The sequence below is a fragment of the Homo sapiens genome, chromosome 3 (assembly GCF_000001405.40).
Source record: "Homo sapiens chromosome 3, GRCh38.p14 Primary Assembly".
NCBI lineage: Eukaryota > Metazoa > Chordata > Mammalia > Primates > Hominidae > Homo > Homo sapiens.
Genome location: NC_000003.12, coordinates 70,026,638 through 70,039,501, shown reverse-complemented (window position 1 = coordinate 70,039,501; position 12,864 = coordinate 70,026,638). Strand labels below are relative to the sequence as shown.

Below are 12,864 nucleotides of genomic sequence, written 5' to 3'. Positions count from 1 at the left end.
AGGAGAGCTCATGGTGCAGATAAAGTTCAAAGGCAGTCTGTAGGAGAATTCCCTCTTGCTTGGAGAGACCAGTATTTTTGTTCTAGTCAAGTCTTCAACTGACTGGGTGAGGCTCACTCCCAACATGGAGGGCAGTTCGCTTACTTAAAGTCTACCAATTTAAATTTCAGCTTCACCCAAAAACACCCACTAAGTTGGCACATAAAATTAGCTATTATAGTAGGTTCCTCCCAGTCCCTCCCCATTTGGATGGCTTTTGGACGATTTTAAATTGCTTAACCTCCTTGATGGCCAATAACTAATGGAGACAAGATTCAAAGGGCTGGGGCAGGTCAAGTACTCAGTGGTGCAGTTTAGTCTCAAGATTTCTCCCACTTTTAGTGATCAGACTGAGGCTAGGCTTCACTTTTTTTCCTTTCCTGTTCTGTTTCTTTCTCTCTCTGTCTGTTCACAGAGGTTTGTCATAATGACCTGTTGCTCAAAAATCACATATAACATAACCACATCCCTGTCTCAGGCTCTATTTCCAAGAAAACTGACCAGGATACTCCCTGTTAGCTCCGGACTGGCTCCTAAACCACTTCACACTGGTTCAGTTTTATTCAACTCCTCAGCCACAAACCTCTATTTGTGTTTGCCTCACCCAAGATGATCTCCTATTATGAATTATGCTATTCTGACTCCAGTTTCAACTCTGTTTGAAAAATTGTTTCTATTCATTCAGTCTCTTCTGATTCATAGAGGCTTCATCTGACTGTGGGGCTCCCAGAGTCCATCTAAAAATAAATACTTTAAGGAAATTTCATTTACTTCAAAATTTCCATCACAATTTTACAGCATTTACTGAAACTGTATTTACAATGAATAACAGTTACCTCAACCTTCATTCTGATGCTGTATTTGAGGTCCAGGATGCAAAATGCCTTTCTGTATAAATTATGTTAAGATACTAGTCTTAGTACATTTAGTGTTGCTATAACCAAATACCTGAGACTGGGTAGTTTATAAAGAAAAGATGTTTATGTGGCTCATGATTCTGGTGGCTGGAAAGTTCAAAATTGGGTAGCTGCATCTGGTGAGGGCTTCAGATTACTTCAACTCCTGGCAGAAAGTGGAAAGGGAGGGGGCATGTGCAAAGATATCACATGGTGAGAGAAAACAAGAGAGAGACAAAGGAAGCCAGATTATTTTAACAACTCATTCTTGTGGGAAATAATCTTTCCTGAGAGAATGAGAACTCACCCACAACAAAGGGCATTCTTCTATTCATGAAAGATGCACTCCTGTGATCCAAATGCCTGTCATTATACCCTATCACACAACACTGCCACATTGGGGATCAAATTTCAACATGAGTTGTGGTTGGGACAAACCATATCCAAACCGTGGCAATACTCAAGAAGTTTCCTGACCCCTCTTGAATGGAGTTAACAAAAAACCATCACAAATAAGAAACTCACCACATGCCAAATGCCACTCCAGTGATTTAGACTTGCTAAGCCATATTCTCTGACTTGTTTTTCTCAAGTGTAATAATCCCCAGTATGGAAGTGCCAGGTTAATATAATCGAACACCTTAGTATGGCATTCAAATCTTTCCAGATGTTGAGCTCAACAACTTTATTAGCTTTATCTGACAATTCCTCTCTCCACGTAAGATTTAAAAATAGTTTTCATGTCACCTTAGGTCAATTGAGAGTGTCTACATGAAGCATTACATGGAGAAGCAATCTAAGGGTGTATTCCAGCTCAACTGGAAAGAGTGCTGTAATCAACTAGTAATGTCTGCCACAGGTGCAAGAATGATGAGTGAAATAGCATTGGAGTCTTCTTCCCAAGTGACAGAAACAGAACTCAAGTTAGCTTAAGAGATGGAAAAGAAAGGCTAAGGGATAATGGCTCACATAACTGGGAAGCCCAAGGTGAAGCCAACAGAGATAATATCACCAGATTTGTCTGTGTGTATTTCTCCTCCTTTTTCTCTCTCCATCTCTTGGCCCAGCCCTCAGACTGTTGGGCTCATCCTCTTCTACTGTAGATAAGCACTGGAGATAAAAGTAGTCGGGGCGGAGGAGGAGATTGAGTTATGAACCAATCATCCTCAACTTATACCATCCCAGTTTAGGGCCCTGAGAGGGATTTCTTAACATCTTTCTGTATATTTCATTCTAGAGAAGGACCCTGCTTGACCCTTCTTCGATCATATGACTACCACTCAGGCTAATTGTTGAAGCCAGAGGGGAAGGACAGTGTGAATGGCAGTCCAGATAGAATTGGGTAAAGCCATAATCAAAAGGAAATGGTTTGCTGTTCCCTTAAGGAGGGGTGGAAAAAAAAAAACAAATCAATAGATGCTCACTACAGGTAGCATGAATATCATAGACTCCCATTCCTGTACCATACCTTATGTTCCAGGCATTGAAAATATTAAACATACCACATCCTCCTGTACTAATCTCAACCTCTATTAAATGTCCTCTTCTATTCCTCTCTACCTTTTGACATTCTATTAATCATCATCCTATGCTATTTACAATCCTATCCTCCAACACTAAATAAAGAAATCATATTTCCTTCTTTTACTCTTGCATAGTAATTAGTTGATTCCTCCATTCAGCACAAAGTAATTTGACTTTCCATTATGGTCATTGTATCATTTAAGAATATTCCTCACAGCAATTTTTTTAATATAGAGCAAGCAGAAAGAGCTTATGTTCCTGAAAAGTTAAAGAGTAATCCTGGTTCCTGGTGCTCAGAAAACATGATCAAAATGCAATTCACCCTATCTTTGCTCTTGATTTGACTCATCCTGGCTTTGTTCTATGGGTTGAATTCATTATGAGACAGGTTCTCCCACAGTGGCAGTCACATGGCTATAGCAGACCTATTTCCTCTCAGCTTTTTGTCCAGTAGAAGAATAAGAGCATATTTTCTGCAAAGCTAGAACAAAAGTCCTGGGTCCAACTTTCATTGGTCAGAATTGGGTTATATGCCCACTTTTTTAAACAATCACTGTGGCTGAGTTAGGAGGACATACTTATGATTGAGCTAATGAGAACAAAAGCCTTCATCTGAGAGTGATATCAATCCCTTCAAACCATGTGAGCAGACAGTGGGGGAGAGCTTGTTCACCAGGAGAAAATACAGGCTGTTGGACACATGAGATAGATGTTGGGTCGCCAAGAAATTATAAATGTCCACTGTAGTCAGCCCTCATCTCTAACCCAGGTGTTTCCATACTAGAATCTACAATACTCCAGGGACCTCAAAGAGACTTTGCCTTAGAATAGAGGCATATAAAGAAGCTGAAAGTGTGGGACTATTGGCCTCTCTCCCTTATTCCAAACCAAGTATCTCACCTTTTAGGGTTTTATATATTTGGCTTATTTACAAGCTTTTCTCTAAAAAAATCATCATTTAGCTTAAAAAAATTAAAACCATTTTATCTGACTGTAAGCCCATTGAAGACAATCATCTATACTTACCTTTGGACTTACATGTTATTTTAACTTTCTTCAGGTACTATTTTTGATATATTGTTTTCCCAATATCCTCCCACTTTCTAACTATAATTCTGTATTTTAATCTTTGTTATACTTTATTTATTTGGTCAGTTACATTACCTATGATATAGGATTTTTAAATAGATCATACTGAATTATTCTTTTTGATAGATATAAACAAATCACAAGACACATTTGTACACAATGAGTGTGACTCAGAAACAATTAGTTTGAAAATGACTAGACCCTACTTTCCTTCCTTTCCCGCTATCATCAGTTGAAAGGTTATCACCAGCCTGCCTCCTAAATTTTTTGGAATGCAGAATCAGCAGAATAGATAAATGAGGAAATTCAAGAGAAACTGCGGAGGGTTCGGCTAAAAGGCTGTGATGGTCTAGTCAGTAGGGACTAACAGGTCACTTTTGGTACTCCCGGAGTTGCATAACATTTGCTGAATTGCTAGATAACATTGGCAGAATTCTAAAATGGCCACCCTGGATTCCTAGCTGCTGGTTATTCAATTAAACATCAATCTATATACTGATATGAAGGGACTTTGCCGGTGTACTAAAGTTACTGATCAGTTGACCTGAAGGTAGGAAGATTATCTGGGTACACCTAATATAATCACATGAGCCTTATAAAAGAGTGTTTTCTCTAGTCAACAGTAGAAGAAATAGATTTTCAGTGTGAAAAGCACTCAGTGTGCTGTTACTGACTTCAAGAAGGGGCTGGGGGACACATGAAACAGGATGTGGACAGCCCTAAGGAATAGGGCTGAGGCAGTCCTCCACCAACAGTCAGCAAGAAAACAGGGACCTTCAACCTACAACACCACAGCCTGGATTCTGCCAATAACCTGGATGGGCCCGAAGTGAATCCCCCCCTTCACATAATTTCCAGGTAAAATCCCAGGCAGGTAAACATCCTAATTTGGGCTTTATGAGATCCTAAACGGAGAATCCAGCCAAGCCCCCTCAGACTTCTGATCTATATATCTGTGAGGTCATTGATATTGTTTTAAGCCACTAAGTTTACAGTAATTTGTTACACAGCAGTAAAAAATTAATAGAACAATTCTAACCTAAGATTTCCTCTTAATAGTGTAGGGTACAACACCATAGAACAAAAGGGTTTTGTTTGTTTCCTTTTTTTGAGATGGAGTCTTGCTCTGTCACCCAGGCTGCAGTGCAGTAGCACAATCTTGGCTCACTGCAACCTCCGCCTCCCAGATTCAAGCAATTCACCTGCCTCAGCCTCCTGAGTAGCTGGGATTACAGGTGCCCGCTACCATGCCCAGCTAATTTTTGTATTTTTAGTAGAGATGGGGTTTCACCATGTTGGCCAGGCTGGTCTCGAACTCCTGACCTCAAGTGATCAGCCCACCGTGGCCTCCCAAAGTGCTGGGATTATAAGCGTGAGCCACCACGCCTGGCAGAACAAAAGTTTTGATGGCATTTCTCTGCACTCCAGGGGTGCCCTAAGTTCAAATCACCCACAGATCAAACTGCTGGAGGGTATATATACTGCATGGTTTCCAGGCTTAAACATTTTCTTTTTTGGCTCTTATCAATGGCAGTATCTACATACAAGTTCAAAAATCACAAAGAAATCAATTCAGCCAAACCCATTCTTCGGTGAATATATTCATCAAATTATTTTACTAAATATAGCCTTTTAAAAATCTATAGACAGTCAAACTTCATACACATACATAGAGAATAGCAATATCGTGCAACTTTGTAATGTATATTCCAGGAAATGTGTTGGAAATATAGGTGATTATTTTATTTTGTTAATATAAACTTTTATTTGATGTCTTATGTGATGCTCAAACAGACGGCCCAGCTTTGGTTCCATCTCTCCTTCCCCTTCACCATTTATTCTCAGGCAATTTCATCTAATTCCATGGTATCCAGTACAAAAGTTAATAACTTTCAAATTTCTATCTCTAGCTCCATTTTTTCTCCCTAAATATAGATCCATCTTGTCACCTGTCCATTTAATCTTACTGGGATAGCTCATAGGAGTCTTCCAGAGGACATATCCCAAACTGACACTGTTCAGATTTTGCGTGCCCAATTCTCTCCTGTCCTTCCCCATCCTCTGACATCCTCCTTTTTCCATATTTTCTAGCTAAAGACATCGTCATTCATCCAATCTCCCAAGCTAAAAAGCTAGATGACAACTTGAACTTCACCCTTTCCTTCGGCCCCCATGTAGTCCCCAAATCCATTGAGTCTACTGTTTCCACCTCTCTCCAAGCAGTCTCCTCTTCCTCATTCATATCTGACCTGCCCTAGTTCATCCTCTCTCACCTGGCCTGTTACAATAGTCTCATAACTGCCTGACTTCTGGTCTCTGACCTCCATGCATGACATCCCTGCTAAGCATTTTATCTGGCTGGCTGTTACTTGCAAGATAGTCCCAAGTTCTAGCTATGTCTCATACGGTTTTTCAAGACTAATCCCAGCATATTTCGCCAGTCTCTCTCCCTTCTCAGGTCCCACTGGCCAGCATACTCTGATGCTTCATCATCTTTACTGCCACCAAGAAACACCCCATGGTTCTTGGTGATGTTATGGCAGCCCTTCTGCCCACATACACCATGAACAAATCCCTCCTCACATTATTCTTCCCCAGCTGAAATGCCACATTCTCTCTTAGTTTGGATTCTCATGAAAGCCCAGCCTGAATCAGGGGCTCAAGTGCAGGTGATTTACTTGGGAAATGATTATAGGAAGTAGGAGAGGGAGGTAGGAAGACTGAGAAAGGGAAGAAGGAAAAGTAAGTAAAGCTGCATTATCAAGGTTATTGCTATAGACAATGTTAGGGCCTTTGAAAACCACGGAGAATTTTTCTCAGGATTGTCTACTTAAAGTCAATTGGCTTCCATCCCCTCACGTCAGATGTTACCCCCAGGAGTATTAAGTAACTGGACACTTTATACTTCCAGATCTTGATGCCTCAGAGAAAGCCCTCCACAGACAAGCTGAGAGGCACAGCTCACACTCTCAGTGTGTCAGAATTGTCCCCCACCTGGGCAACGAAATCAGAAGTGGACTGAGGAGCTATTATGAAAGGCCCCCAAAGCATCTGCTACATCATTGCGAAGTTTTCCTTTATTTGTCCAAAGAGAAGAGCTCTCCCAAGGTCCTCTGAGCTTAGCCCTGTTGCAGCACTTCCTATAGTTGATTGTAGTTGTTGGCTTAGTGCTCTCTTCCCTGCACTGGGCTCTGAACTCTTGAGGAACACACCCTGCTGCAGAGCAGCTGGCCCCTACCACAGTTCCTCAGATGTTTGTTAAATCAATCAATCCATAAAACTTATCCTAAGCCATTCCATGGTACTAACCATCAAACTCCACATGTTTTGAACACAGATAAAAGGATATCAACTCATTAATAGAAAGCGTAAGATCTGCAGCCCTAGCTGTCAAATATATGACCAAATACTTTTCACTCAAATCAAAATGCTACAGTAAAGTTGTTTTCTTCCCAGCCTTTGTAATTTAAGAAATACTAAGTAAAGGAGACAGAGAAAGCAAAATCCTCTAGGCTGAAGGAGTTTAAAATTCACGGTTCAATACATCTTTACTATATTTTTATCAAATCTTTGTTGCTATAAACTCAATCAATAAAGAGTTACCTTTAAAATAATTTAAGCAAGTGGCTATTTTTTTTCTATTCCAGACTTATTCAAATTAATTTAAAAGATTTTTTTTGCCTGTACCCTTCTCCTCCTGTTTGCTTGATGTACTCTGACATAAATTCAATACAAATATGGGTGGCTGTTCAGAGGGCAGCCTAGAAATGTTAATTGGCTGATCAAAATAACAGCCTCATCCTAATTCTAGGCAGCTCTCATCCCTAAAAGAATCATGTTCCCAAATTCCTATAAATTTAAAAATAGAATTCCAGTGCCTTTGATTGAGTGTGCCAGTTTGCATTATTTTTCCATTTTATAAAACTTATGGTTAGGGAAAAATGTGCATTGCACACAAAAATGTGTAAAACACAACTCATAAGTAATCTTTACCATTAACTTGAAATTATTACATAGCTGTTGCTTTTTGATAATTTTAGGTGTTCCATTCAACAACTCTTTGTTGCATGCTTACTGTGAGCCTGGTACTGTGCTGATGGCTGTATTTATTCTTAAGCATGAAGAACCACTCTGCCATTACAAACTCTGTCGGTCTACAGTGTTTTAATGTCTCATCATCGAATTCTCTTGGAAGACCAAGTTGGTTTCATTTAGAAAAGCTAACCAAATCCCACTAATCAGGCATACACCTAAAATAAGGATTTTTTTTTCCTGCAAAAATGTTTGCCATCTGTTAAAACTGATAGTCACTACAATTTTAAGCAATGCCTATACTTAGCTTTACATTTCAGTTCTTACCTAGTCTTTTCTTTGCCCAGAAATATTTCACCCTCTCCTGTGTGTTATACATAACATAAAATTTACTGTTTTAACAATTGTAAGTGTACAATTCAGTGGCACTAAGTGCATTCACAATGCTGTGCAACCATCGCTCTATTTCCAGAAATTTTTCACCAACCCAAATGGAAACTTTGTACCCATTAAATAACTCTCCATACCCCCTATCTCCCCCAAACCCTGGTAATCTCTATCCTATTTTCCATGTCTATGAATTTACCTATTATAGGTACCTCATATAAGTGGAATCATACCATATTTGTCCTTTGTCTGGCTTATTTCATTCAGTGCAATGTTTTTAAGGTTCATTTATGTTGTAGCATGTATCAGAATTTCATTCCTTTTTATGGAAAAATAATATTGTATTGCATGTATATACTGCATTTTGTTTACGAATTCTTCTGTTGATGGACACAGGTTGTTTCCACCTTTTGGCTATTGTGGATAATGTTGCCATCAACCTTTTTACAAGAACTGTTTGAGTCCTTGTTTTTAATTCCTTTGGGTATGTACCTAGGAGTGGAATTGCTGGACCACATAGTAAATCTATGTTCAATTTGGAGAAATTGCTGAACTGTTTTTCACAGCACCTGTACAATTTTACGCCTCACCAGCAATGCACAAGAGTTCCAATTTCTCTGTATCTTTGCCAACAATTGTTATTTTCTTTTTTAAAAAATAATAGCCAACATAATGAGTGTGAAGTGGTATCTTATTTTGGTGTTGATTTGCATTTTCCTAATGACTAACAATGTTGAGTTGAGCATCTTTTCATATGTGTACTGGCCATCTGTATATATCCTATGGACAAATGTCTATTCACGTCCTTTGCCCATTTTTGAATTGGATTATTTATTTTCATTGTTTTTGCATTGGGTTTTGGTGTTAGACAAACACATGCTTAAAATTCACTTCCACCACTTACAGACCTATGGAGTTCATTTAAAATTCCCGAGCCTCAGTTTCCTTATTTGAAAAATGAGGCCATTAATAACCACCTCAGGATACTGATGTCAGACATAAGTGAGATAATGATGTAGAATCACCTAATAGCATGTGTGGCATATGGTCAGGACTCAACAGCTGTAGTTATCTTTTGAAAATATTAGCTATTTGTTCTTAGCTATCTGGTTATATTTGTAGAAAGTGAAGCAAGATGATCACCCATCAGAACTGGTTGCTTAATCTAGTCTCTTAAGGTGGCCAGCAATGTCCTTCCATCTTAAAGAAAATTGACAAAGAAGAAAAGTAAAGTTAGACGCTAGTTCCCAGTCTCTCAATCACTTAAGCAACAAAAAAGAAAATCTGAATAGGGCAATAAATAATGTGTGAAATTTTTTAAAATTTTATAAACATTTGATTTGATAACACTAAACACTCAGCTATTTTTATTATTTATTTAACTTTTCTTATTCACATCTGGACAAATTTATTGGCAAAAATATTAAACCAAGCTTTACATTGTCATGCCAATTTCTCTCTTACTAGCACTCATACAAGACAAATATTCCACAGAGTATGAATCAAGATTAAATTCATTTAAAAGTATCATTGAAATCAAGTTCTTTTCTTTACAATGGAGGAAGCTGGAATAAATATGAATTCAAGAAAACGATTCTAGAAGTGAGAATCTCTCAAGTAATGGACAGAGAAATGATTTCTAATGCAAACGATACTCAAATAGTAAAAAGCAAGGATTTCAACCAATTCTTCCTATTGGAAGTTAAAATTATACCCCAAAGGACCTAATTCAATAAGCAGCTATTTTCACCAACAAATTAAGGGCTTTTTTTTTTTTTTTTTGACAGAGTCTTACTCTGTCACGCAGATTGGAATGCACTGGTGTGATCTCGGCTCACTGCAACCTCCATCTCCCGGGTTCAAGTGATTCTTGTGCCTCAGCCTCCCAAGCAGTTGGGACTACAGGCACATGCCACCAAGCCTTGCTAATTTTTTGTATTTTTAGTAGAGACGGGATTTCACCATGTTGGCCAGGCTGGCCTCAAACTCCTGGCCTCAACTGATCTGCCCACCTCAGCCTCCCAAACTGGGAGCATTACAGGCATGAGCTACCACGCCCCGCCAAATTAAGGGATAATTAATAGAAAGATAATGCTACTTTCTGGCTAAATGGGAGGTTTAGAAGCACTATTCTAGCTCTCAACAGAGAGAAGAGAACTTTGAAGGGACATTAAACTAAGAAAAGGTTCCACATTGGTCTCATCCATTGTTCAAAGATTAGGCATAATGGTATGTTTAAAAGACTTTAAAATTTGATATGACATCCAGTCAAAGAGGAGAGAATTACTCTTATTATTATGTATGTGTCTGGCTGAAAAGAAGGACGGGTTAAGTGTATTATTCTGATAAAAACCAATGCACTGGGCAATGAAATTATTTATTTTCAAGTCCAGTCTATGACTTGATACTTCCTATCACATGCTGTGATGCAGAAGAAGACACAGGATTAATTTTAAATTACATGCACCTGCAATATGGTATAATGGTTTAGCTCATGGACACAGGAGTCATATCGTCCAAATACCAGATCTCCTAGTCACCCGGAACAAGTGTCTTAATCTCTCTAAGCCCAGACTGCTCACTTGTCAAATGGGCTTAACAACTGTACCTGCTTGAGTTCAGTGGGCAATGTATGAAAGCACTCAGACCAGTAGCTGGCAATGACAAATATGTTTTACCTCTTACTACTATCATTATCATCGGTGAGAAAACTCCACTGCGTGGATGACATTTTTACCACTAGAAAAACATGAGACACATCTCATTTTGAGTATGCCCAAAGAATGAGAATGAAAATATTTGGAGAGGCTTCATCCCCTAGACTAAGAAATAATTCTGTCACAGTTTTTGCTGTGGTTAGCACAAAGAGAATAGACCACACAGCCCAAAGGAATGTCTTCTACCAAAATCTTCCATTAAATATTTCATTTTACCTCTTAATTTCTCAAATTTAGGGATTTTTTTCCAACTAATGCATAACCAGGCATTTCCTGGGCCTGGATGTGACACAACTCTGTGGCATAGACAGGAATTTGCCACCTACCCACAAATCTTTTCAAAGAACAAGAGTCTCACAGCCACAAATTCTCCCCATCAGTTCACCCCTCTGGCTGCAATTGTGTGAATGGTCTTGGGAATGTATCTCCTGCCTAAAGTAAAGACCTGAAAGCAAACACAACATATTCAAAGAAGCACAAGGCACATCATTCCCACAAAGAGAGAGTAAGGCCTCAACTGCTATTCCTCATCAAATAACAACTTGAGGTGTTTTTTAGCTGTCTAAAATGCAAGAAAGAAAGACAAGAAAGAAAAAGAGAAAGAAAGAAAGAGAGAAAGAAAGAAAGAAAGGAAGGAAGGAAGGAAGGAAGGAAGGAAGGAAGGAAGGAAGGAAAGAAGGAAGGAAGGGACGGAAGGAAGGAAGGGAAGGAAGGAAGGAAGGAAGGAAGGAAAGAAGGAAGGCAGGCAGGCAGGCAAGAAGGAAGGACTCAACGAGGTAAAGTATTAAGTGGCTTTTAACTGAAAATGCAAAGCCATTCACATTTGCCCTAATACTGCTGAATTGTGTGTTGCAAAGGCCTTTTAAATACTGTCTATTTCAATATTACCCCCAAATGAAAACGGCTTTGAGATGTCTTCTGTATTCTTTGCTGGGGCCCGAAAAGAAATCACCGCATTACCTTGCATTTGCTCTTAGAGTCATTAGCCTTAGACAGCACCATCATTTAAGAAATTTATCATCAGTGCTGTCCTTTGCACAATATATTAGTGCAATACATTATAGGAGCACCTTACTCTGATGATGTATGGCTTCTAAGATGGCAACATCTGGGGATGAATGGGTCTAAGAATAGATTTGGTGTAAGAGAATAAATGCATAGATCCACCTTGGTAGTGTTATTCTAAAATAAACCAGTATTTGTTGCTATCAACCTACTCCAACCCTCATAACAATCTTTACAACTTGCTCGATTTAGTAAAATGATTCTTCATGACATTAAATTGATTTTTGATGACAAAGAGGGAAGGTTTCTAAAATTAGTGGGTTGGTATATTGAGAGATAACCTAGCACAAGCTTGATGATAAATTTCAGTCAAGGCTTTCAAGAAAACTCTAATTTAGTCCACCTCTTGCTCACTTAAATTTTTCAGTAGATTCTCCAAAGGAGAGAAAGGAGATTAACATCTGATGTCTTCAAGGGTATTAGAACAAAAATTGAGTCACAATTAATTAGTCTATACCAAATTCTCACTTTCTACATGGCTGATGATACATTTTTCCTAAAGCTCAATTCTCCCATTTCCATTCTTCAAAGTCCACAATGCTTCCCTCTCCATTACTTTGTCTAAATAGGACACAAATATTTTAGCTAACTACCGAAATAAATCATTATGAACACTCAACCTCAAAGAAAATTATAGCAAATGAAAATGCCTCAACGTTCTGAATCATGAACAGGAGTGTGATCTGCAGGGTCGCAGACTTCTTTGTTAAAATGGTTTTAAAGAACCCATTTTACAAACTCCCAGTAGAGTCTGGGAATCAGCCCTACTTTCTCATTTTAAGCACTGGGCCTCCAGGAGTCAGTGCTAAAATGATGTCCCAATTCAATTTGTTGCCTTATTCCACCATCCGGGGATGCTTCTTTAACTGGGTTTAATCAATATTCATTATGCTAAGAGAAAAAGAAAAGACTGATAGGATAAAATGTCATGCTTGCACCATCACACAATTTTGTCCAATTAATATATTTCCACCAAGTAGGTTGACATTGCTAACCAGTTCAGAAACTTAGTGTGGTAAACTCAGAGGACCCTTGCTCCTTTTACTGCGTGATCATCAACATGAATCTCTAAAGAGACTTGGAGCTTCCATCAGCATCTCTCGGGCTACCATAAG

General features: G+C 38.8%; 1 long non-coding RNA gene across 21 annotated transcripts in view; it reads right to left on the bottom strand.

Moving 5' to 3' along the window:
• Positions 1-12,864, bottom strand: part of SAMMSON (survival associated mitochondrial melanoma specific oncogenic non-coding RNA) — a 435,002-nt gene that overhangs the window by 395,088 nt on the left and 27,050 nt on the right. Inside the window, exon 4 of one of the 21 annotated variants that reach the window (NR_186011.1) lies at positions 8,774-9,167. The exons of the other annotated variants lie outside the window; for them this stretch is intronic. This is a non-coding gene — a long non-coding RNA (survival associated mitochondrial melanoma specific oncogenic non-coding RNA). Of the gene's footprint in view, positions 1-8,773; positions 9,168-12,864 lie in introns of those variants that run through there. 21 annotated transcript variants of the gene reach the window in all.